The sequence below is a fragment of the Homo sapiens genome, chromosome 1 (assembly GCF_000001405.40).
Source record: "Homo sapiens chromosome 1, GRCh38.p14 Primary Assembly".
NCBI lineage: Eukaryota > Metazoa > Chordata > Mammalia > Primates > Hominidae > Homo > Homo sapiens.
Window position 1 is genome coordinate 66,964,068 of NC_000001.11, and position 19,451 is coordinate 66,983,518.

General features: G+C 35.7%; 2 protein-coding genes across 31 annotated transcripts in view; one reads left to right on the forward strand and one right to left on the reverse strand.

Annotated features, from left to right (window-relative positions):
* MIER1 (MIER1 transcriptional regulator) overlaps positions 1-19,451 on the forward strand; it is a 63,630-nt gene that overhangs the window by 39,078 nt on the left and 5,101 nt on the right. For 28 of the 29 annotated variants that reach the window (NM_001146110.2, NM_001350530.2, NM_020948.4 and 25 more), the window contains 5 exons: positions 6,741-6,892; positions 7,588-7,669; positions 8,830-8,924; positions 12,528-12,655; positions 17,712-17,851. In NM_001146110.2, the coding sequence (NP_001139582.1) occupies positions 6,741-6,892; positions 7,588-7,669; positions 8,830-8,924; positions 12,528-12,655; positions 17,712-17,851 (597 nt within the window). Of the gene's footprint in view, positions 1-6,740; positions 6,893-7,587; positions 7,670-8,829; positions 8,925-12,527; positions 12,656-17,711; positions 17,852-19,451 lie in introns of those variants that run through there. The other variant, XM_047426266.1, reaches the window with a different exon arrangement.
* SLC35D1 (solute carrier family 35 member D1) overlaps positions 8,909-19,451 on the reverse strand; it is an 81,173-nt gene continuing 70,630 nt past the window's right edge. The window contains exon 13 of one of the 2 annotated variants that reach the window (XM_047415662.1): positions 8,909-11,451. The gene's annotated coding sequence lies outside the window, so the exon portion shown is untranslated. Of the gene's footprint in view, positions 11,452-14,100; positions 15,590-19,451 lie in introns of those variants that run through there. The other variant, XM_047415665.1, reaches the window with a different exon arrangement.

Below are 19,451 nucleotides of genomic sequence, written 5' to 3' on the forward strand. Positions count from 1 at the left end.
TGAAGATTTTTTTTTTTTTTTGAGACAGAGTCTTGCTCTTGTTGCCCAGACTGGAGTGCAATGGCATGATCTCGGCTCACTGCAACCTCCACCTCCTGGGTTCAAGTGATTCTCCTGCCTCAGCCTCCTGAGTAGCTGGGATTACAGGTGCCCACCACCACGCCCAGCTAATTTTTTTGTGTTTTTTAGTAGAGATAGGGTTTCGCCATGTTGGCCAGGCTGGTCTTAAACTCCTCACCTCGTGATCCGCCTGCCTCGGCCGCCCATAGTGCTGGGATTACAGGTGTGAGCCACCATGCCTGGCTGAAGATTTTTTTTAAAGAGTCTGTTTCAGATTATTCACCTCATTTGAGTTCCAGAAAAAATGCTGTGTATGTTTCCTTTTTTTTTTTTTTTTTTTTTGAGATAGAGTTTTGCTCTTGTTGCCCAGGCTGGAGTGCAATGGCTCAATCTCGGCTCACTGCAACTTTCGCCTCTCAGGTTCAAGCAGTTCTCCTGCCTCAGCCTCCCAAGTAGCTAGGATTACAGGCATGCGCCACCACGCCCAGCTAATTTTGTATTTTTAGTAGAGATGAGGTTTCTCCATGTCGGTCAGGCTGGTCTTGAACTCCTGACCTCAGGTGATTCGCCTGCCTCAGCCTCCTAAAGTGCTGGGATTATAGGCATGAGCCACTGCACCTGGCCGTATGTGTGCTTTTAATGAGTTCATGTGCAGTGTGACATCACTCAGGACTAGAAATCTTTATTTCTTTTATTTCAGTTTTCTTCACATTTCAACTTAATATACACAAAGGCCTTTGGAGTTGTATTAATAGAAGTTTTTTGTTGTTTATTTCTTTTTAGCATTCTCTCCAAAAACTTACTTTATATTCTAAGTATGCACCTACTCTCAGGGCAAGCAGCAGGTCAGAGGCAGTCAAGGGAACATCACAGGCCAGTACGGTTTTTGTGATAGCAATATGTTTTAATACATCATTTAAATGTTTAATAGCTACCACTTATTTCTCAAGGTAATTCCTGCAAGATATAGGAACATTGAAGCTAGCAGTATGGAGTGACTTTATTACATATAGAAATTCTGTACATATGGTATGTTCTGTGAACGTATAATTGTGTGCCAAAATAAATGATCTGTTGGCTTTTGTATTTATTTTTGTAATTGAAATGTCAGTTTTGTGCTTTACTCGTATAGTAGTTAGCAATGTTCACCATTGAGGTTTTTCTTTCTGCAAATAAATGAACTGAAAGACATTTGTTTTTATTAAATTTCTTTTAAATTTTGACAATGAAAGATAATAGAGCCTATTTTATATTTTAGTATTTATATTATAAATTTATATTATAGTTGAAAATAGTTTTATTGCAGTATACTTTGTTTTTTATTTTAATATGTTCGTATTATATATCAACAGTGAATAATGATCACATTCTCTTATTTATGCTTAGTTTTAATTTTTAATTTTTGTGGGTACATAGTAGGTGTATATAGTTCCGGGGTACGTGAGATGTCTTGATACAGGCATGCAGTGTGTAACAACCACATCATGGCAAATGGTGTATGCATCCTCTCAAGCATATTATCTTTTGTGTTACAAACAATCCATTTATACTCTTATAGTTCTTTAAAAATGTACAATTAAGTTATTGATTATGGTCACCCTGTTGTGCTGTCAACTATTAGGGGTTACTCATTCTATTTTTTTGTACCCATTAACCATCCCTACCTCTCTCTTACTCCTTTCCCGGACTGACCTTCCCAGCCTCTAGTAGCCATCCTTCTGCTGTATCTCCATGGGTTCAATTGTTTTGATTTTAGATCCCACACATAATTGAGAACATGGGATACTTGTCTTTTCCGTGCCTGACTTTTTGCTTAACATAATGACCTTCAGTTCCATCCATGTTATTGCAAATGACTGGATCTCATTCTTTTTTTATGGCTGAATAGCACTCTATTGTGTATAAGTACCACATTTTTTTTTTTATACTTTAAGTTCTAGGGTACATGTGCACAACATGCAGGTTTCTTACATATGTGTACATGTGCCATGTTGGTGTGCTGCACCCATTAACTTGTCATGTACATTAGGTATATCTCCTAATCCTATCCCTTGCCCTTCTCCCCACCCCACGACAGGCCCCGGTGTGTGATGTTCCCTTTCCTGTGTCCAAGTGTTCTCATTGTTCACTTCCCACCTATGAGTGAGAACATGCAGTGTTTGGTTTTTTGTCCTTGCGATAGTTTGCTGAGAATGATGGTTTCCAGCTTCATCCATATCCCTACAAAGGACATAAACTCCTCCTTTTTGATGGCTGCATAGTATTCCATGGTGTATATGTGCCACATTTTCTTAATCCAGTCTATCACTGATGGACATTTGGGTTGGTTCCAAGTCTTTGCTATTGTGAGTAGTGCCACAATAAACATACGTGTGCATGTGTCTTTATAGCAGCGTGATTTATAATCCTTTGGGTATATGCCCAATAATGGGATGGCTGGGTCAAATGGTATTTCTAGTTCTAGGTCCTTGAGGAATCGCCACACTGTCTTCCACAATGGTTGAACTAGTTCACAGTCCCACCAACAGTGTAAAAGTGTTCCTATTTCTCCACATCCTCTCCAGCACCTGTTGTTTCCTGACTTTTTAATGATTGCCATTCTAACGGTTGTGAGATGGTATCTCATTGTGGTTTTGATGCATTCATCTGTTGATGGACACTTTTTTTGCCATCTGTATGTATTCTTTTGAGAAATGTCTCTTCAGATCTTTTGCCCATTTTTAAATCAGATTATTAGACTTTTTTCAATAGAGTTGTTTGAGCTCCTTATATATTCTAGTTATTAGTGCCTTCTAAGATGGGTAGTTTGCAAATATTTTCTCCCATTCTGTAGGTTGTCTCTTTGTTGATTGTTTCCTTTGCTGTGCAAAAGCTTGTTAACTTAATATGATCCTATTTGTCTATTTTTGCTTTGGTTGCCTGTGCTTGTGGGGTATTATTCAGGAAGTCTTTGCCCTCAGTCCAGTGTCCTGCAGAATTTCCCCAATATTTTATTGTAGTAGTTTCATAGTTTGAGGTCTTAGATGTAAGTCTTTAATCTATTTTGGTTTTTGTGTGTGACAAGATATAGGGGTCTAGTTCCATTCTTCTGCATATGGATATCCAGTTTCCCAGCACCATTTATTGAAGAGACTATCTTTTCCCAGTGTACATTCTTGGCATCTTTGTCAAAAATGAGTTCACTGTAGGTATGTGACTTGTTTCTGGGTCCTGTGTTCTGTTCTGTATGTCTTATTTTTATGCCAGTACATGCTGTTTTAGTTACTGTAGCTCTGTAGTATAATTTGAAGTTAGGTAATGTGATTCCTCCAGTTTTGTTCTTTCTGCTTAGGATAGCTTTGGCTATTCTGAGTCTTTTGTGGTTCCATATAAATTTTAGGAACTTTTTTTCTATTTCTGTGAAGAATGTCATTGGTAATTTGATAAGGATTTCATTGAATCTGTAGATTGCTTTTGGTAGCATGGACATTTTAACAACACTGATTCTTTGAATCCATGAATGTGGAATATCATTCCATTTTTTTTTTTTTTGGTGTCCTCTTTAATTTCTTTTGTCAATATTTTATAGTTGTCATTATGGAGATCTTTCACTTCTTCGGTTAATTTCTAGGTATTTGATTTTATTTGTGGCTATCTTAAATGGGATTAGTCTTTTGATTTCCTTTTCAGAATGTTGACTTGGTGGCATATAGAAATGCTACTGATTTTTGTATGTTGATTTTGTATCCTGCAACTTTACTGAATTTGTCAGTTCTAATAGTTTTTTGTGGCGTCTTTAGGTTTTTCCAAATACAAGATCATATCATCAGTAAACAGGGATAATTTGACTTCTTCCTTTCTAATTTGGATTGCCTTTATATCTTTCTCTTGTCTAATTGTTCTGATTTTTTCATGGTTTAAATTCTAACTTAATATTTTCCATTTTAACATGATTTTAGAAAGTAATTATGCATATGTAATTTTTTTCAGGGACGAGTGATTTATGAAGCTTTCTCATTTTGAGAATTTAAGTATATTAGTTTGTGTAAGGAGGATCAGACTAAACTTAGCAGAATGAGATTGCTTTGGAGGGATCGCTGTGGTAAAGGGGCATTCCTCAGCTTTGTAGTTCTAGAAATTCAGACTTTTGTCAGGATACCCAGAATTTGTCTCCTCTTAAGATACCCTATACCATAAACCAAATTCTTGAAACTATTAGGTAAACTATGCTGTTAGAAATAAAACTTGTCAAAGGGACAGTGCTGATTAGTGCATTCTTATGGAAAACATTTCACAGGATATTTTTCATCAGTTTTGTGAACACAGACTTTTTTTTTTAAGTGCCACAAAACTAAGATATCCTGATATCTTTATTGTAGGGATTACTTAATGGATGGATCAGAATTCTCCTTTTCATTGATACGTGGAAACCTCCTTACCTAGTATCTTGGAGAGACATTGACAAATTTTTTCTCTCTGCCATCCGACTTTTTTTATTAGGCACCATGCAGATTATATATTCTTCATTGGTTAGCACTCCTAATTCAAACAGTTAAATAAACATGATTTGTTAGTTATAATAACATTCCAGGCATGCTCCTTTGGACTTGTATCTGTTTTGATTACAAAATCTCCTGAGCTACCCTTAACTTTTTCCTAAATTCATGTAAGTTATCATTTATACTAACCACAGTGTATTTTAACCTTTTGTTTACTCATCTTTGTAGCATTACTGGTAAGTAGGTCGATCCTTGCCCCATAGGCACTTAGTAAACATTTGGTGCCTAAGTGAATAGGTGGGTGAATTATTTCCGAATTAGGGTTTCCTTATATGGCCTTGTCTACCCCAAAGATCCCAAAAATATAAGAACTTTCGTCTGCAGAGAACAGAGGCTGAGCAGAGAATAGAAATCAATAGCAGTATATCCAGATTCATTTTATCATGGTAGTTTTATTGTATTTATAATTTAGGATATAACTAGGATTGTACCAGCAGATTAGAAAAGGAATGATGTTTATTAAGGAAGATTTTCTAAATATTTTCCTTTGGGCTGTACTTTAAACAAAAGTATCTATTTTGGGAAACAAGGGAAGATAGAAGAAGGTTTTGAAGTGTGTGTGGGTGAGGGGACAAGATAATTCATGTGAAAATAATACGGCCGGGCGCGGTGGCTCACACCTGTAATCCCAGCACTTTGGGAGGCCGAGGCGGGTGGATCATGAGGTCAGGAGATCGAGAACCATCCTGGCTAACACGGTGAAACTCTGTCTACTAAAAAATACAAAAACCTAGCCAGGTATGGTGGCACATGCCTGTAGTCCCAGCTACTCTGGAGGCTGAGGCAGGAGAATTGCTTGAACCTGGGAGGCGGAGGTTGCAGTGAGCCAAGATCGCGCCACTGCACTCCAGCCTGGGCAACAGAGCAAGACTTCGTCTCCAAAAAAAAAAAAAAAAAAAAAAAAAAAAAATCATTGCCTGGTACATAGGATATGCTTAATTAGCTGTTAATTTCTTTTCATAATAAAAGAAATTTTGACGCTGTTAGTTATTCTTTGTCTCTTAAAATGTTTCTCAGGCTGGCTCCTTCCTGTTGTCATTTACATATTTGCCTCATCTTTGAAAACAAACAAACCAAAACAACATAAAAACTTTCTTCACCTCTACTCTCTAGCTACTCCCCTATCTCCACCATCATAACTAAACTTTTCAAGAGTCTTATTTCTTCACTTTCCATTTATTCTTCAGTCTTATCCAATGTGGCTTCTGCTTCCATCTCTCTACAGAAAGTTCTCACAACATTCACCTCCTTGTTAGTAAAGCTGGCATAACCTTTTTCAATTTTCATCCTCATCACTCAACAGAATTTAACCAGTCTTTGAAGCTATTCTTTGAAACACTCTCTTCCCTTAGCATCTGTGATGTTACATTCTTGGTATTTCTTCTGTTTGTGACTTTTGAATTTTATCCATGTTTTCTTCTTATCATTTGGAATTCCACAGGCTTTGTCTTAGGTCATCCTCCTTTCATTACTTTTTGAGTTTTAATTAGATTTAGGCTTTCATCTTCTTATAATGGAAATTATGATGAAACTTAAATACCTTTAAAAAAGTAATGACTTGTTTTTGTGAAAGTGATTTATATACATTATACAACTCAAGCATCACAGAAAACATAAAGTAAAATTTACTTCAAATCCCACCACCAGGAATTAAGCAGTGTTAACATTTGGTGAGCATTCTTCTAGACATATTTTCAAAAATAATAGTTACAGTTACAATTACAGGATTTTAGTATGTGCCAGAATGATTGTAAAGTGCTTTAAATCCTTAAAACTATGTGGTAGAGTTATTGTTACCTCCTTTCACAGATGAGACAGAAGGGAAATAATTTGCCCAAGGTCATCATACATGTAATAAGTGGTAGAGATGGTATTCAACCAAGAGAGCTTGGAATTTGGTAAACTCAAGATAAAGTCAGACTGGATCTGCAGGGGGCATAAAGTGGTACCTCCTCTCTGTTTAAATTGTTTAATTTACTTAAACTATAGTTTTTGCCCAAGAACGAAGTCAGGCAAGTAGTAGAACCACACTGTACCTCAGTTCTCAACATTTGGCTCTGAGTTGTTTATTTAGTAATATGTTTTAACACAAACTCTATCAGTTTTTAGAAATTTGTTTAACATTGTCTTTTACTAATTTAGTATATGAAAATGATGATCAGCTCCTGTGGGACCCTGAGTACTTACCAGAAGATAAAGTGATTATATTTCTTAAAGATGCATCTAGAAGAACAGGTGATGAGAAGGGTGTAGAAGCAATTCCTGAAGGATCTCACATAAAAGACAATGAACAGGTCTGTGAAAGAAACAACTGTTAGAACTTTGCCATACACATTTATACATGTAAATGCTGTCACTTGCATTGTTGTTATTCTGTCCACCAAACTTTTTATAACATTATTGACAGGGAATCTGAGGTTATAATCCCTGTAAGATATCCGTTGTTACCACAGTGACTTCATTGGTGTGAAGCTCAAAAACGAAACAAAAACCTGTTTTATTTTGCCTGTATATACTTTTCATTAGGCTTTTTAAAATTCCTTTGGCTATCCCTAAGAATCTGTGTATATCAAGTTGGAATTCTCACCTCGGATTATCTTATGTACATGGTAAGACCAGTGCCTACCATGAACCTATCTTTTTTACCTTTTTAATCATTGTTTTTTTCTGATTTGTTTAAAATTATAGGAATCTCAAGAAGCCACAAAGAAGGGATTTTCATTGATATAAAATGAATTCTTTTTAGTCCTAGGGATACTATGGCCACCAAGTTTATGCATATCCTACTTTGTACATATTTAAAGGTAGTTGATTTATCAGGATCGAATTCATATTTGTTTTTCTTTGGAGTTCTCTATATATAACATTCACTAAAGTTATTTGCCCTCAAAAAGGATGAAAACACTGGATGTTTGAAAAACTTTTAAGAAATTGTAGCATTGAACTGTTTATAGTCCTTGTCACATATTCAAGCCTTTTATTTTTCTAGGCTTTATATGAATTGGTTAAATGCAATTTTGATACAGAAGAAGCATTGAGAAGATTAAGATTTAATGTAAAAGCAGCTAGAGGTAAGTATAGTTTTTATTCATTTTCATGATTTGGCAGAAATTTTAAAATTAAGCTTTTCAGTTTACCTAGGTATAGCCTAAACTTAATAATACTGATTTTTCTGAGTTTGATAAATATTTACAAAATACCAAGTATTACTAAACAAATCGTTACGGGGAGTGGGATTAAGATTGTCCCTTCCTCCTTTGTGGGAAAATACAGTCATGTAAGTAAAAATGTAAAAATTTATACTGCCTTATGCATTCAAGGCATATTTATAAATATTTTCTTATTTGATCTTGATAATTGCCCTATGAACTAGGTAGTATGACAGATAATACCTTTACTTAAAGGTAAAAATTGATGAGCCTGAGATCTCTGAACTAAAGTAACTTGGCGAAAGCAAACATAATTCATCAGTAATGAAGCCATGACTAAAATTTGGATTTTTCTTTTTTATACTATATCTGGCTCCTACCCCCCTTCACTAAGAGTACTACATATATATATATACACTACATATATATATATATATATATATATATAGATATGTAACAAATGAGAGATATTTATTTAACAAAAATTTGAGTGCCTTCTGAATTCTGAGGATGTAACTATAAACAAAGTCCCTTCCCCTCGTGGTGCTTAGAGCTTAGGTAGGGAAACTGGAAAATAGCTGATGAATTCTTCAAGGAAAATTAGAGGGTGCTATTGAAACCTGTAGTAATGGGACTTAACCTATTTGCAGAGAGGGTAGTGCTTTTAGGGAAAGCATTCAGAATGAAGTAATATTTTTGTTGGGATGCAAAAGAATTATCTCAGTGAAAGGGGATGAGGCAGGAAATAATTCTAAGCAAAGGAGAGACACCATGCACAAAGTCTGAAGTAAGAAAGAACATGGCAAATTTAAGGAATTGAAAGGTGGCTGAGATAGTTTGATCAGTAAGAATTAAGAAGAAAGTGGCACAAGTTGAAGCTGGAGAGGTAGGGACCAAATCATTCAAAATCTTATTAAATAAGGAATTGTTGTCACTTTATCTTTTGCAACAATTAGTAATAGAGCTCAGGAGTAAAATGCTTCCCTCATTTTTACGAGAAGGTTAAGTTTTCATTTGTAATTTTGTTATATGCAATAATTGGGGGAATATTGCTTAACAGTTTGTTCCTCCCATCTTGTCAGAGGAATTATCTGTTTGGACAGAGGAAGAGTGTAGAAATTTTGAACAAGGGCTGAAGGCCTATGGAAAGGATTTTCATTTGATTCAGGCTAATAAAGTAAGTAATGATAATCTCTTTTTTGCAAAAAGAAATTTAGTTGAACAACTCAAATGGTCATGTATCGTAATTTGTTATATTGTCTAGTGTTAAAGGTTTCATAATTAATATGACAATATTTTGGTATTTAGTGAGTAATTATAGTAAGGCTGCCTATACTTCCTAACCTATAATTACCTGTTGGTGACTGTTTTCAGTGCATCATATTGCAGGTGTTTAAGAATTGTACTCATTTACAAGCATGTTAATCAACTTCTAGTTGGGGTGTGTATGTGCAATGCAATTCTTTATAGCTGTTTTCCACAGTCTGTGACTGTTTTATGGAGGGCCTTTGAAATGATTTGGAAACTTTAAAGCACTTTCAATATGACATTATTTGCAGTTAAAATATTTATTACATTTGCTTAAGTCCTGAGTGGTCTAAAATCAAATACTTAATATTTAACTTAGTTTTAGTCAACATTTAATTTTCTAGGAGCTTCTGTGTCGATAAATCAGCTTTATATTCTTATAGTTATAATTTGAGGATTTTATTTAACATAATCATTTATCATTTCATGTTGATAATATCAGTCATGTAATTTATACTCCAAATAGCTTTATAATTACTTACAGATTTGTTTTGGGGCTTAATTCTTATAACTGAAATTAGGTATGATTTTTAATAGTAACCATATAATTATATAGAATAGAAAAATGTGTTGTTTCCATGAGCAACACATTAGGACAACAGATTAGGACAGGCAGAATTAAAGTCTTGGAGATTAAATGTAGGAAATTAATTCCCAGGCTTATGATTATCACATTATTTTTAGTTAGTAGAAATGACAAGGGTATTGGTTTATGTAATTCCTTAAAGATAGCTTCTAAGTTTTGTGTCGTAGCTTGTCCAGGACCTTGTTGAAAGTACCTGGGCTTATGTCTGAGGCTCTGAATAGTCTTCTGCCACAGCTCTCTTTTTATACATTTGGATGTGATTGGATTGTATCCAGTTGATTTTTTTGACACATATTTAATATTTTTTGTTATTAATAAAATATTTACAAATCCTGTGGGTTCATTTCTTAAATTTTGTCGTGCATTAACTAGTTTATTCTTATTTTTATTATTTTTTTTTTAAGTGGGAACTGGGCAGTGAAGAGCCCCACTCCCAATTAGTTCATTCTTAATTATTTTGTTGAATGTTGGCAGTTTACCGCAGATAACACTAATAGAGAAATGTTTAGTTTTAGCATTTAGGATAACTTAGAAGACAATGTAATTAGTTTCAAAAATGTATACCCCTAATGTTGTGTTCATATCATCTGATAACCTCAAATATAGTTAACATTCAAGAAAAGGAGTGCATTATGTGACTGGCCGTGTATGTTTTTGATTAAAAAAGAAAAAAGTTCGTTGTTTCATGGTTGAAAGGGACAACATTTTTGGATGAGGTTTTTTTTTTGTTGTTGTTGTTGTTGTTTTTTAACACTTCTGCTTGAATTAAAACACTCTTAACCAAACCATGCTGAATTACCTAAGGAAGGGACCCCTGGAATGATAGCTTATGTAACAAGCAGCAGCAACAACCCTGACCAATATGATTTTTTTAAAGGAGTTAAGAAATTATAGGTGACTTGAAACTTAGAGCCAAGTAACATAAGTATTAAAAGTATAACCTTGATTTCTCATAAATATTTGGGACAGTGGCATTTAAATGTTACAAGGTAGAAGTCAGCTGACCTCTACATAATACACTAAATTACTCTAGTGCACAAAAAGAGGACAGTAATTCTTTAAAAGGGAGACGAGTACTCTAGTGAGAATATCGAGTTTGTTTTTATGTCTGGAATTAAAGTTCAGATCTTAATCATAAGTTCTATTTTGAGGGCTTTTGTTGAAGATTTTTCATAATCTTAACTTTGCATGCCCCAAAATGACTTTATCTTTTTGCTTTCAGTAAAGTACAGTTGACTTAGTTCGAATCTATCTAGAAATAAGATCCTAGAGGAGACAAAAAACAGCTTGAGAGGATGATTTTTTTTAAAGTCCTGATTGCTGTCAGTCTCAGAGCAATATGGATCAGAGCTGTACAGTGCAAACGGGAAGAAAGCAAAATATATGTTGGGTAAGGGAGGGTATCATCAACATTTGTCCTTTAGGTGCAATCAGTGCTACAGAATATTTACTTCAAGAGCAGAAATTTATGGGATAAAGAAGTATATTGCATCCAGAACACATACAGACACTGGATTTCCTTTTAAATGGTCAGTATTGCCGGTGCAGTGGCTCATGCCTGTTATCTCAGTACTTTGGGAGGTTGAAGCATGCAGATTGCTTGAGCCTGGGAGTTCAAGAACAGCCTAGGCAACATGGCAAAACCCCATCTCTACAAAAAATAGAAAAATTACCTGAGTTTGGTGGCATGCAATTGTGGTCCCAGTTATTGAGGGTGCTGAGGCAGGAGGATTGCTTGAGCCTGGGAGGGCAAGGCTGCAGTTAGCGGTTTGGTGCCACTGTACTCCAGCCTGGGCAACAGAGCATGACACTATCTCAAAAAAAAAAGAAAAAGAAAGGAAAAAAGTTATCAGTATTTTATTTATATACATCAGCCCTAAATCCTCAGTATTTTATATATATACATCAACCCTACCACCAGTTCTCCCGGCTAAGTAACAAAAAGGAATTCTGTCAGCATCATTTAATTCCGTAGGCATTTAACATTATGTGAGGGGAGCCATTCAGTTGCACAAATAGGTACAGCACAGTAAGCCGCAAGAGTAACTTAGTAAACAAAGCATTAGCATTATTATGATACTTTTAACTCACTGTGGCATCTTCCCAGACTTTCTAGAGAGTAAATTAACTGAGTCTGGGTTGCTGTTGGGACTAGTAAGAGAATCTTTCAAAAGGGAATTTAAAGATACGCTCCCTAGGTACCCGTACTCTGTGAGTAAAAGTATTAGCAAACTGTTTATAACATTTATTTTAACATGAATGCCACTTCCAGGCCTTTTTTTTGTGTGTGTGTGTGTGAGACTGAGTCTCATTCTGTCACCCAGGTGGGAGTGCAGTGGTGTGATCTCAGCTTAATGCAGCCTCTGCCCCCACCCCCACCCCCTGCTGGGGTTCAAGTGATTCTCCTGCCTCAGCCTCCCGAGTAGCTGGGATTACAGGCACCTGCCACCATGCCCGGCTAATTTTTGTATTTTTAGTAGAGATGGGGTTTCACCATCTTGGCCAGGCTGGTCTTGAACTCCTGACCTCGTGATCCACCCCCCTTGGCCTCCCAAAGTGCTGGGATTACAGGCGTGAGCCACCGTGCCCGGCCAACTTCCAAGCATTTTTAATACAGGAATATATTTTTCTAGTAAATTAGGATGATGGTAGCATTTTAAAAAGCACAGTGCTGTATATCTGAAGACCTGTTGCCAATATATTATTTCTCTTAATAGATGTTTAGAAAGAATAGCTTTCAACATAGCTGCTACACTGTTGTATGTTATATATAGGATTATATTTCAGTTAAGGACTAGCCAAATTTATTTTCAAACTTCAGATGTTTATCATGAAGTAACTTTGTTAAAAAGGAGATTCTTAAAAGCAAGCATTTGTTTCTTACAGGTCCGAACAAGGTCAGTTGGTGAATGTGTAGCATTCTATTACATGTGGAAAAAATCTGAACGTTATGATTTCTTTGCTCAGCAAACACGATTTGGAAAGAAGAAATATAATCTTCATCCTGGTGTAACGTGAGTTAATTTTTTCCTTAAGAGCTATATATACATTTTTGCTAAGCTTTTCTAGATTTTTCTTGAGTTAATTATTATTTTGATAATCTTGCTTTTATATACTTGATCTTAACCAGAAGGCCGAGAGTGATAAAATCTTGCTTTTATAATACACATTAAACTTTACCATCTATTATATCTTCATAAATAAGGCATTTAGACTTTTCAGTGTCTTATGAAATATTGTAAACTACAGTTCATATTATGTATGAGACAAGCATATCATTAAAGCAAGATTTAGAATGTATATTTTTAATACACTGTTGAGAAGAAATGGATCAGAACAGCTGTGAAAGCATGTTTTTCTTAAATTCAGTTCCATTCAGTATAAGCACATACAGTTTTAATCTTCTTTTTTTTTTTTTGAGATGTAGTCTCAAATCTGTTGCCCAGGCTGGAATGCAGTGGTGCAATCTCAGCTCCCTGCAGCCTCCGTCTCCCGGCTTCAAGCGATTGTCCTGCCTCAGCCTCCCGAGTAGCTGGGATTACAGGTGCCTGCCATGACGCCTGGCTAATTTTTGAATTTTTATTAGAGACGGGGTTTCACTGTGTTGACCAGGCTGGTCTTGAACTCCTGACCTCAAATGATCCACCTGCCTCAGCCTCCTAAAGTGCTGGGATTACAGGAGTGAGCCACTGTACCCAGCATACAGTTTTTTTATAGAGGAAAAAAAACATGTATATGGTGACTTTCCTTTTCCTAGCTTTCCTGAATCTTTCCTCTAACAAGTAATATTTAAGAATTAGTAATGTAACTCTAGTGTAGTCCCATTGACACAGATATGGGTTGTTGTATCCATTCTTTATGTAAAATGTCTGATATGCCTAATTTATTCCCATGTTAAGAGAATTTATTGTCTACACCTCATTCAGTCTAGCTTTGGAGTGAAACATTCCACTACCACTGGCAATTTGTTACTTAAACAGAAAAGAGTATTGAACCCCTTGTCTTTCATGAATTGCTTTAAAATGGTGATTAATTGTTATGATGGAATTAACTTTACAGTGCTATCCTTAATTATTCCCTAATGTTTACAGAATAAAAAAATAATGCAAAATAAAAAATAAAAATAAAAAAAAATTGACTTTGTCAATGTACTCCAGTAAAGATGTTCTTAAAGCTGACCAAATAATTACCTTCGAAAGATGTGCTTGGGCCAGGTGCGGTGGCTCACTCCTGTAATCCCAGCACTTTGGGAGGCTGAGGCGGGTGGATCACAAGGTCAGGAGTTTGAGACCAGCCTGACAAACATGGTGAAACCCCATATCTACTAAAAATACAAAAATTAGCTGATGTGGTGGTGCACGCCTATAGTCTCAGCTACTCGGGAGACTGAGGCAGAAGAATTGCTTGAACCCAGGAGGCGGAGGTTGCAGTGAGCCGAGATCAAACCACTGCACTCCAGCCTGGGCAACAGAGCGAAACTCCATCTCCAAAAAAAAAAAAAAAAGATGTGCTTGTATGTTTATTTGATCTTGCTCTTCAGACTCCTAAACTGCACTGTTTCTTGATCAAGTTCATTTATAGGTAGGTATCTCTGCTGGTCACTTCCTTAGAAGGTCAAATGCTCTAAAGCCCACAGTAAAACAATCTGAAAGAGAATAAATGGGTATGATTCACCCTTGGAAATCATGGGACAATGGAGTGTGTACATCATCCCCCATTATTCAAAGCTGGTGATTGCTAAAGTGGAATTTCATAAATAGCAGTATTGCAAATTTTATCTAATTGCTTAATGTTAAATTTATAGTTAATTTTTTTTCCATTGGTAGTATTCAAGCATAATAATATAGAATTAGATACAGCATCTAGTCTGCAGATATATCTTAAAATAGTCATGATTTTCAAGGTATTATATAGGGAAAAGCAATAGTAACATCTTTTATTTTTTTCAACCATTTCAGAAATAATGTTCACACGTGAGCTACATTCAGTCTGTAATCATCAGCAGTAACAACATAAGAATGGCCATGCTGGGTCAGACCCATGGTTCATCCAGTTTTCTCTTTCAGAAAGCATCACCAAAGTGTGGGCTGGCTTAGTTGGTCCTCTGTGATGTCAAGATCAACAGGTTAGGTAGGGATGTGCCACCAAATGTTCTAATTTCTCTATTGATCTCCCCATAGCTTCTGAAAACTTTTTGAAGATACTTTTATCTGTAACTTTAATGACTCTTAAGGTTAAATATTCTTTAGGTAGAGTGGCCACAGTTAAAAATAAACAATATCTTAATAGTGGTCACCTGGTATAATGGTATGACGTGAACTAATGTGTTTTTTCCCTTAGGCAGGAATACCATGGTTTTGTAGGCTTCAGTTGTAGCCCCACTGGGTTGTTTTTTTTTTATAAAGTTTATTTAACTGAAAGAATCATACTTTTTTACTGAGACTCTTCCCTTTTAGCTGTGTTATGTCTTCTGTAAGAAGCAGTGACCAAACTACATTTCTTTCCAGATGGGGATAAATTTTTCTGGTTTGCTTCCATTACCATCTCTTTCTGTTAATAGCTGCACTTTAAGTGACTTCATAAAACATTAAGCTAATGTGTTTAGAGAGAAATTTGAGTGAATTTTCTCATCCTTCTTTTTAGGTCAAAATCCATAATTCAGAGCACATTATCCTGAAAGTCATTTGTTCACCAGGATGAAACACATTTTCCCCTTTTCTGCCTACAAACAGCCTTTGAAAGATTCTGCTACACATTGTCCCTATTTACTACCTGGAAGAATTGGGAACCTTATTGGAGATTTCATTGTAGAATACTCAGCTTTCCAAATAATTTTTCCAAAAACTAAACATTAACTCAGCATAACTTTGATTACCTGAATGCTGCTTCAACTTTCTGGATGGTTTGTCTGATTCTGCCCTTTCCTGAATATTCTGGATGCTATTAATCTTTAGGAAACAATGATAATAATAATTACTATCCTTTCACAGAATTATGACTATATCCAGAAATTAAAAATAATTTTGATATCAACTCTTGTTTCCTTTGCCTTGGCTTTTTTTTTTTTTTTAAAGACGGAGTCTCAACCTGTTGCCCAGGCTGCTGGAGTACAGTGGCGCAATCTCGGCTCACTGCAACCTCCACCGCCCGGGTTGAAGTGATTCTACTGCCGCCGCCTCCCGAGTAGCTGGGATTACAGGCATGCGCCACCACACCCGGCTAATTTTGTATTTTTAGTAGAGACAGGGTTTCTCCATGTTGGTCAGGCTGGTCTCAAACTCCCAACCTCAGGTGATCCACCTGCCTCGGCCTCCCAAAGTGCTGGGATGACAGGCGTGAGCCACCACACCCGGCCTTGCTTTGGCTTTTAACTTCCTTCATATTATCCATTCCCACTATAACGTATTTATTTCCAACAATTCCTCATCATGTGTCTTCTGTTAGCCTTAGCACCTGAAGTCCCTTTGGGACTCACCACACTTATTTCTGTGTGCTTCAAATTTGTTATGTAATTTTTCTATAATTATGATGAGTAGCATAAAGCTGAAGAAGTCTTCAAGACCATCTAATTTAATTCTATATAGATTTATAGGTATTCAAGACCATCTAATTGAATTCCCTTCATTTATAGATGAGGAAAATAAGGCATAGAATGTAAATTGCATAGGTCATGGTCATATACATTTCTGAGATATGTATTAGTTTTATACCTCAGACTATTAGAAGTTTCTTGAAGTCAGGTATCACATCCCTATATTTGTTAAATCCCTATAACCTAGGAGACAGTGATGACCATATAGGTTGAGATAACTACAATTAATAGCATATTATAGACTATTAACACAGACTTTCAGAAAATTCCTCAGAGCTTCCACTGTTTCCTTCTTATTTACCCTGCTCACAAAATTCTAAGAGATTTGTCTTAATATTTCTATCATACTTATGCTGAAGGAATTTTAAGATAAATAACACAATTAGAATTTTATTGAGTTTCTTTCTGTTCTGTGCCTTGCACAACTTAGGTACCAGTGGTGCAGGTATAAACAAAGTAGACTAAAAATTCCTGACCTTGGGGAATTCTAGTGCAGTATCTAGTATCAGCAAACTTTTTCTGTAACAGGTAGAGAATAAATATTTTATGCTCTGTAGTAAGAAAGGACTTAATCACACTACTCAGTTGTGCAGTTGTTGCAGGAAAGCAGTCATAGACACTATGTAAACAAAGGTGTGTGGCTGGGTTCCAATAATACTTTATTTACAAAAAACAGATGGCCAGCCCACAGGCTATAGTTGGCTGACTTTTATTCTAGTGGTTTAGTAGCACTTTTTGGATTATGAAACATTTTTATGTACATATATAATACAATAACCATGTGTGTTAGACATATGATTTATCTACATTTTGTAGGTGATACACTAAACCTGAGAGAGACAAATCTCTATCCCAGATCTGCTCACCAATGTCACTTAACCACAGTTACGTAGTTCAGGAATGATTTAGAGAAGAAATGAGCTCACATACAATGAGAAAGTGACAGGATAAAACCAGCAGATAATCCCAGGAATTTAGTTAGCATCTTATAGCTCAGATCTGGCAGAAATATAATACCAAAAATATCCAGGAAGGTTTTAGGAGGTAATCAGTCCTTTTTGTTAGGCTCAAATTTGTCTTTTAGGTATCGCCTTTAGGAGCTTTAAAATTCAATCTATGTTTGTACAGAAATTCTTTTGTACTTTTACTAGACATCACCCCTATCACTTCAGTTAAGAGATCTTCCAGTTCTAGTTGGGCCACTCTGAGCACCTGCCTACAACTTTACAAGCTTTAAAATTTCCTATGGGTCTCTAAAATTTGTTACTTTAAAGCCGTTATGCATTTTTCCTATAAACATGTAACCAAAAGGAGCTTTTCATTTAAATATTCAGATCCTGGTATGATAGATGAAGCACTGGAATGAATGTTAAGTGAATATTAGGATATATTTGTTAAGAAAGCCTTCTGAATTTAACCTCAACTAATTTTTAATTTTCAGCTCTTTTTAATATAAAAATTGTTTTATTAATTTTAAGGGATTACATGGATCGTCTTCTAGACGAAAGTGAAAGTGCTGCATCTAGTCGAGCACCATCCCCTCCCCCAACTGCATCAAACAGTAGTAACAGCCAGTCTGAGAAAGAAGATGGCACTGTAAGCACTGCTAATCAAAATGGTAAGCAACCAGAGAAACATTTCTCTTTCTTCATAATAAGGGACACTTTCTTGCAGTGACTTGGGAAATTCCGTTTGGGTTTCTATTAAACTTCCAGAGCAGAAAGTAAAAAATGATAACACATGAGACAAACATAACATCAGCATACATATATACTAACAGAATACAAAGTGATTGGACATCACTAAAAAGTAATTTTAATAAAGCCTACTGTCAACAGTGACTATTTCTTGTAAGAAATTTGTTCTTTTTCAGTAGCATCTCTTTTCCTGTCTTGTCTAGTTGGGTTGATGCCTAGATACAAGTATTTATGTTAACTCTTAGGTCAAAACCCTGCAGTTTCACATGAGATATACAGATCATTGCAAAATACCTTGATGTAAGGTAACAAGTGCACTGTTTTGAATATTTAAGTTCTCTTTGATAGCATAATAACCTTGAATAATGAGAAAAGATAAAGCCGGTATCAACCTGTATATTAATATTCTACAGAAATATTTGTTTTTCTCTCCAAGAAAAAGAGAAGAAAAAGGCATACCAATTGTTTGAGGTTCAGATAGTGTTTCCGTTTAAAATATACAGTGGACCAGAGATCACTGTGCTGATCAGTAGTAAGAGCCAGAGAATTATTTTGATTTCTTCTTTGATTAAATGGTCTTTTTAAGTAAAAGAGTTCCAAGAAGAAAGTAATAAGCGCCACCCCCAGCTCCTCTGAGGAAACTGGTGATAGGAGAGTACCAGTGAAGAGCTGACTTCTTCCTGACAGAAACTGGAAGAGAAACACTGTGAAAGCCTTGATCCTCTTCTGACCTTTGGTCTCACATTGGTCCTGCTGGAGTGTATATGCTTAGTTCATTTCATGACCCCTCTCTGTTCCCTCACTACTTCTAGGAATAAACCAAACAAACAAAACTTAGGGCCCAGTAACTATGTCCTGGTCCAAGAAGGTTTATTGACTTGATGTCTAATGTTTGTCACGTCCATTCTGAAGTAGAATAAGATGCTGAGACTCTGACCTTGGGACTAACCGTATAGGCTCAAGGGAGGCAGACAGTTGGTACTACTATTGTTTTTCCTGTTTGTTCTTAACATATTAACACCAAATCATTTTCTTTTCCTTTTTAAGAAACTATTTGATGAGAACATGCTGTTAGGCTAGGAAAGTGTTCATAAGTTACTTATAAATTACTTGTAGCTCAAAAGCCACTCAACATTACGTACAGTCAAAACTGCCAGCTTTTTCAAAGGAAGGAAGGAACTTTTCATCCCAATGTTATATTACTTTTTTATATGGGGCTTTAATTAGTACTTTGAAATCTTACAGTTATTTTTGACCTAATCACAGTCGTCAGCTAGCTTTTTGGACTTGTTCCTACAGAATTGTTCTCTTCAATATATTATGATGCATAATCCCCATGTGCATTCATGATTTGAGTGCATTGAGTTGGTCAAAATAGAATATTTTCTTCTATCAGAATACAGTATTTGAGGCTCATCCTTTATGCCGAATATTTTTCAAGCAATTAAATTGTAATTATTCAGTGATGCACCCTATATTTTACTTCTTATCACCAAAATTTGCATTCCATTTTACAGTCAA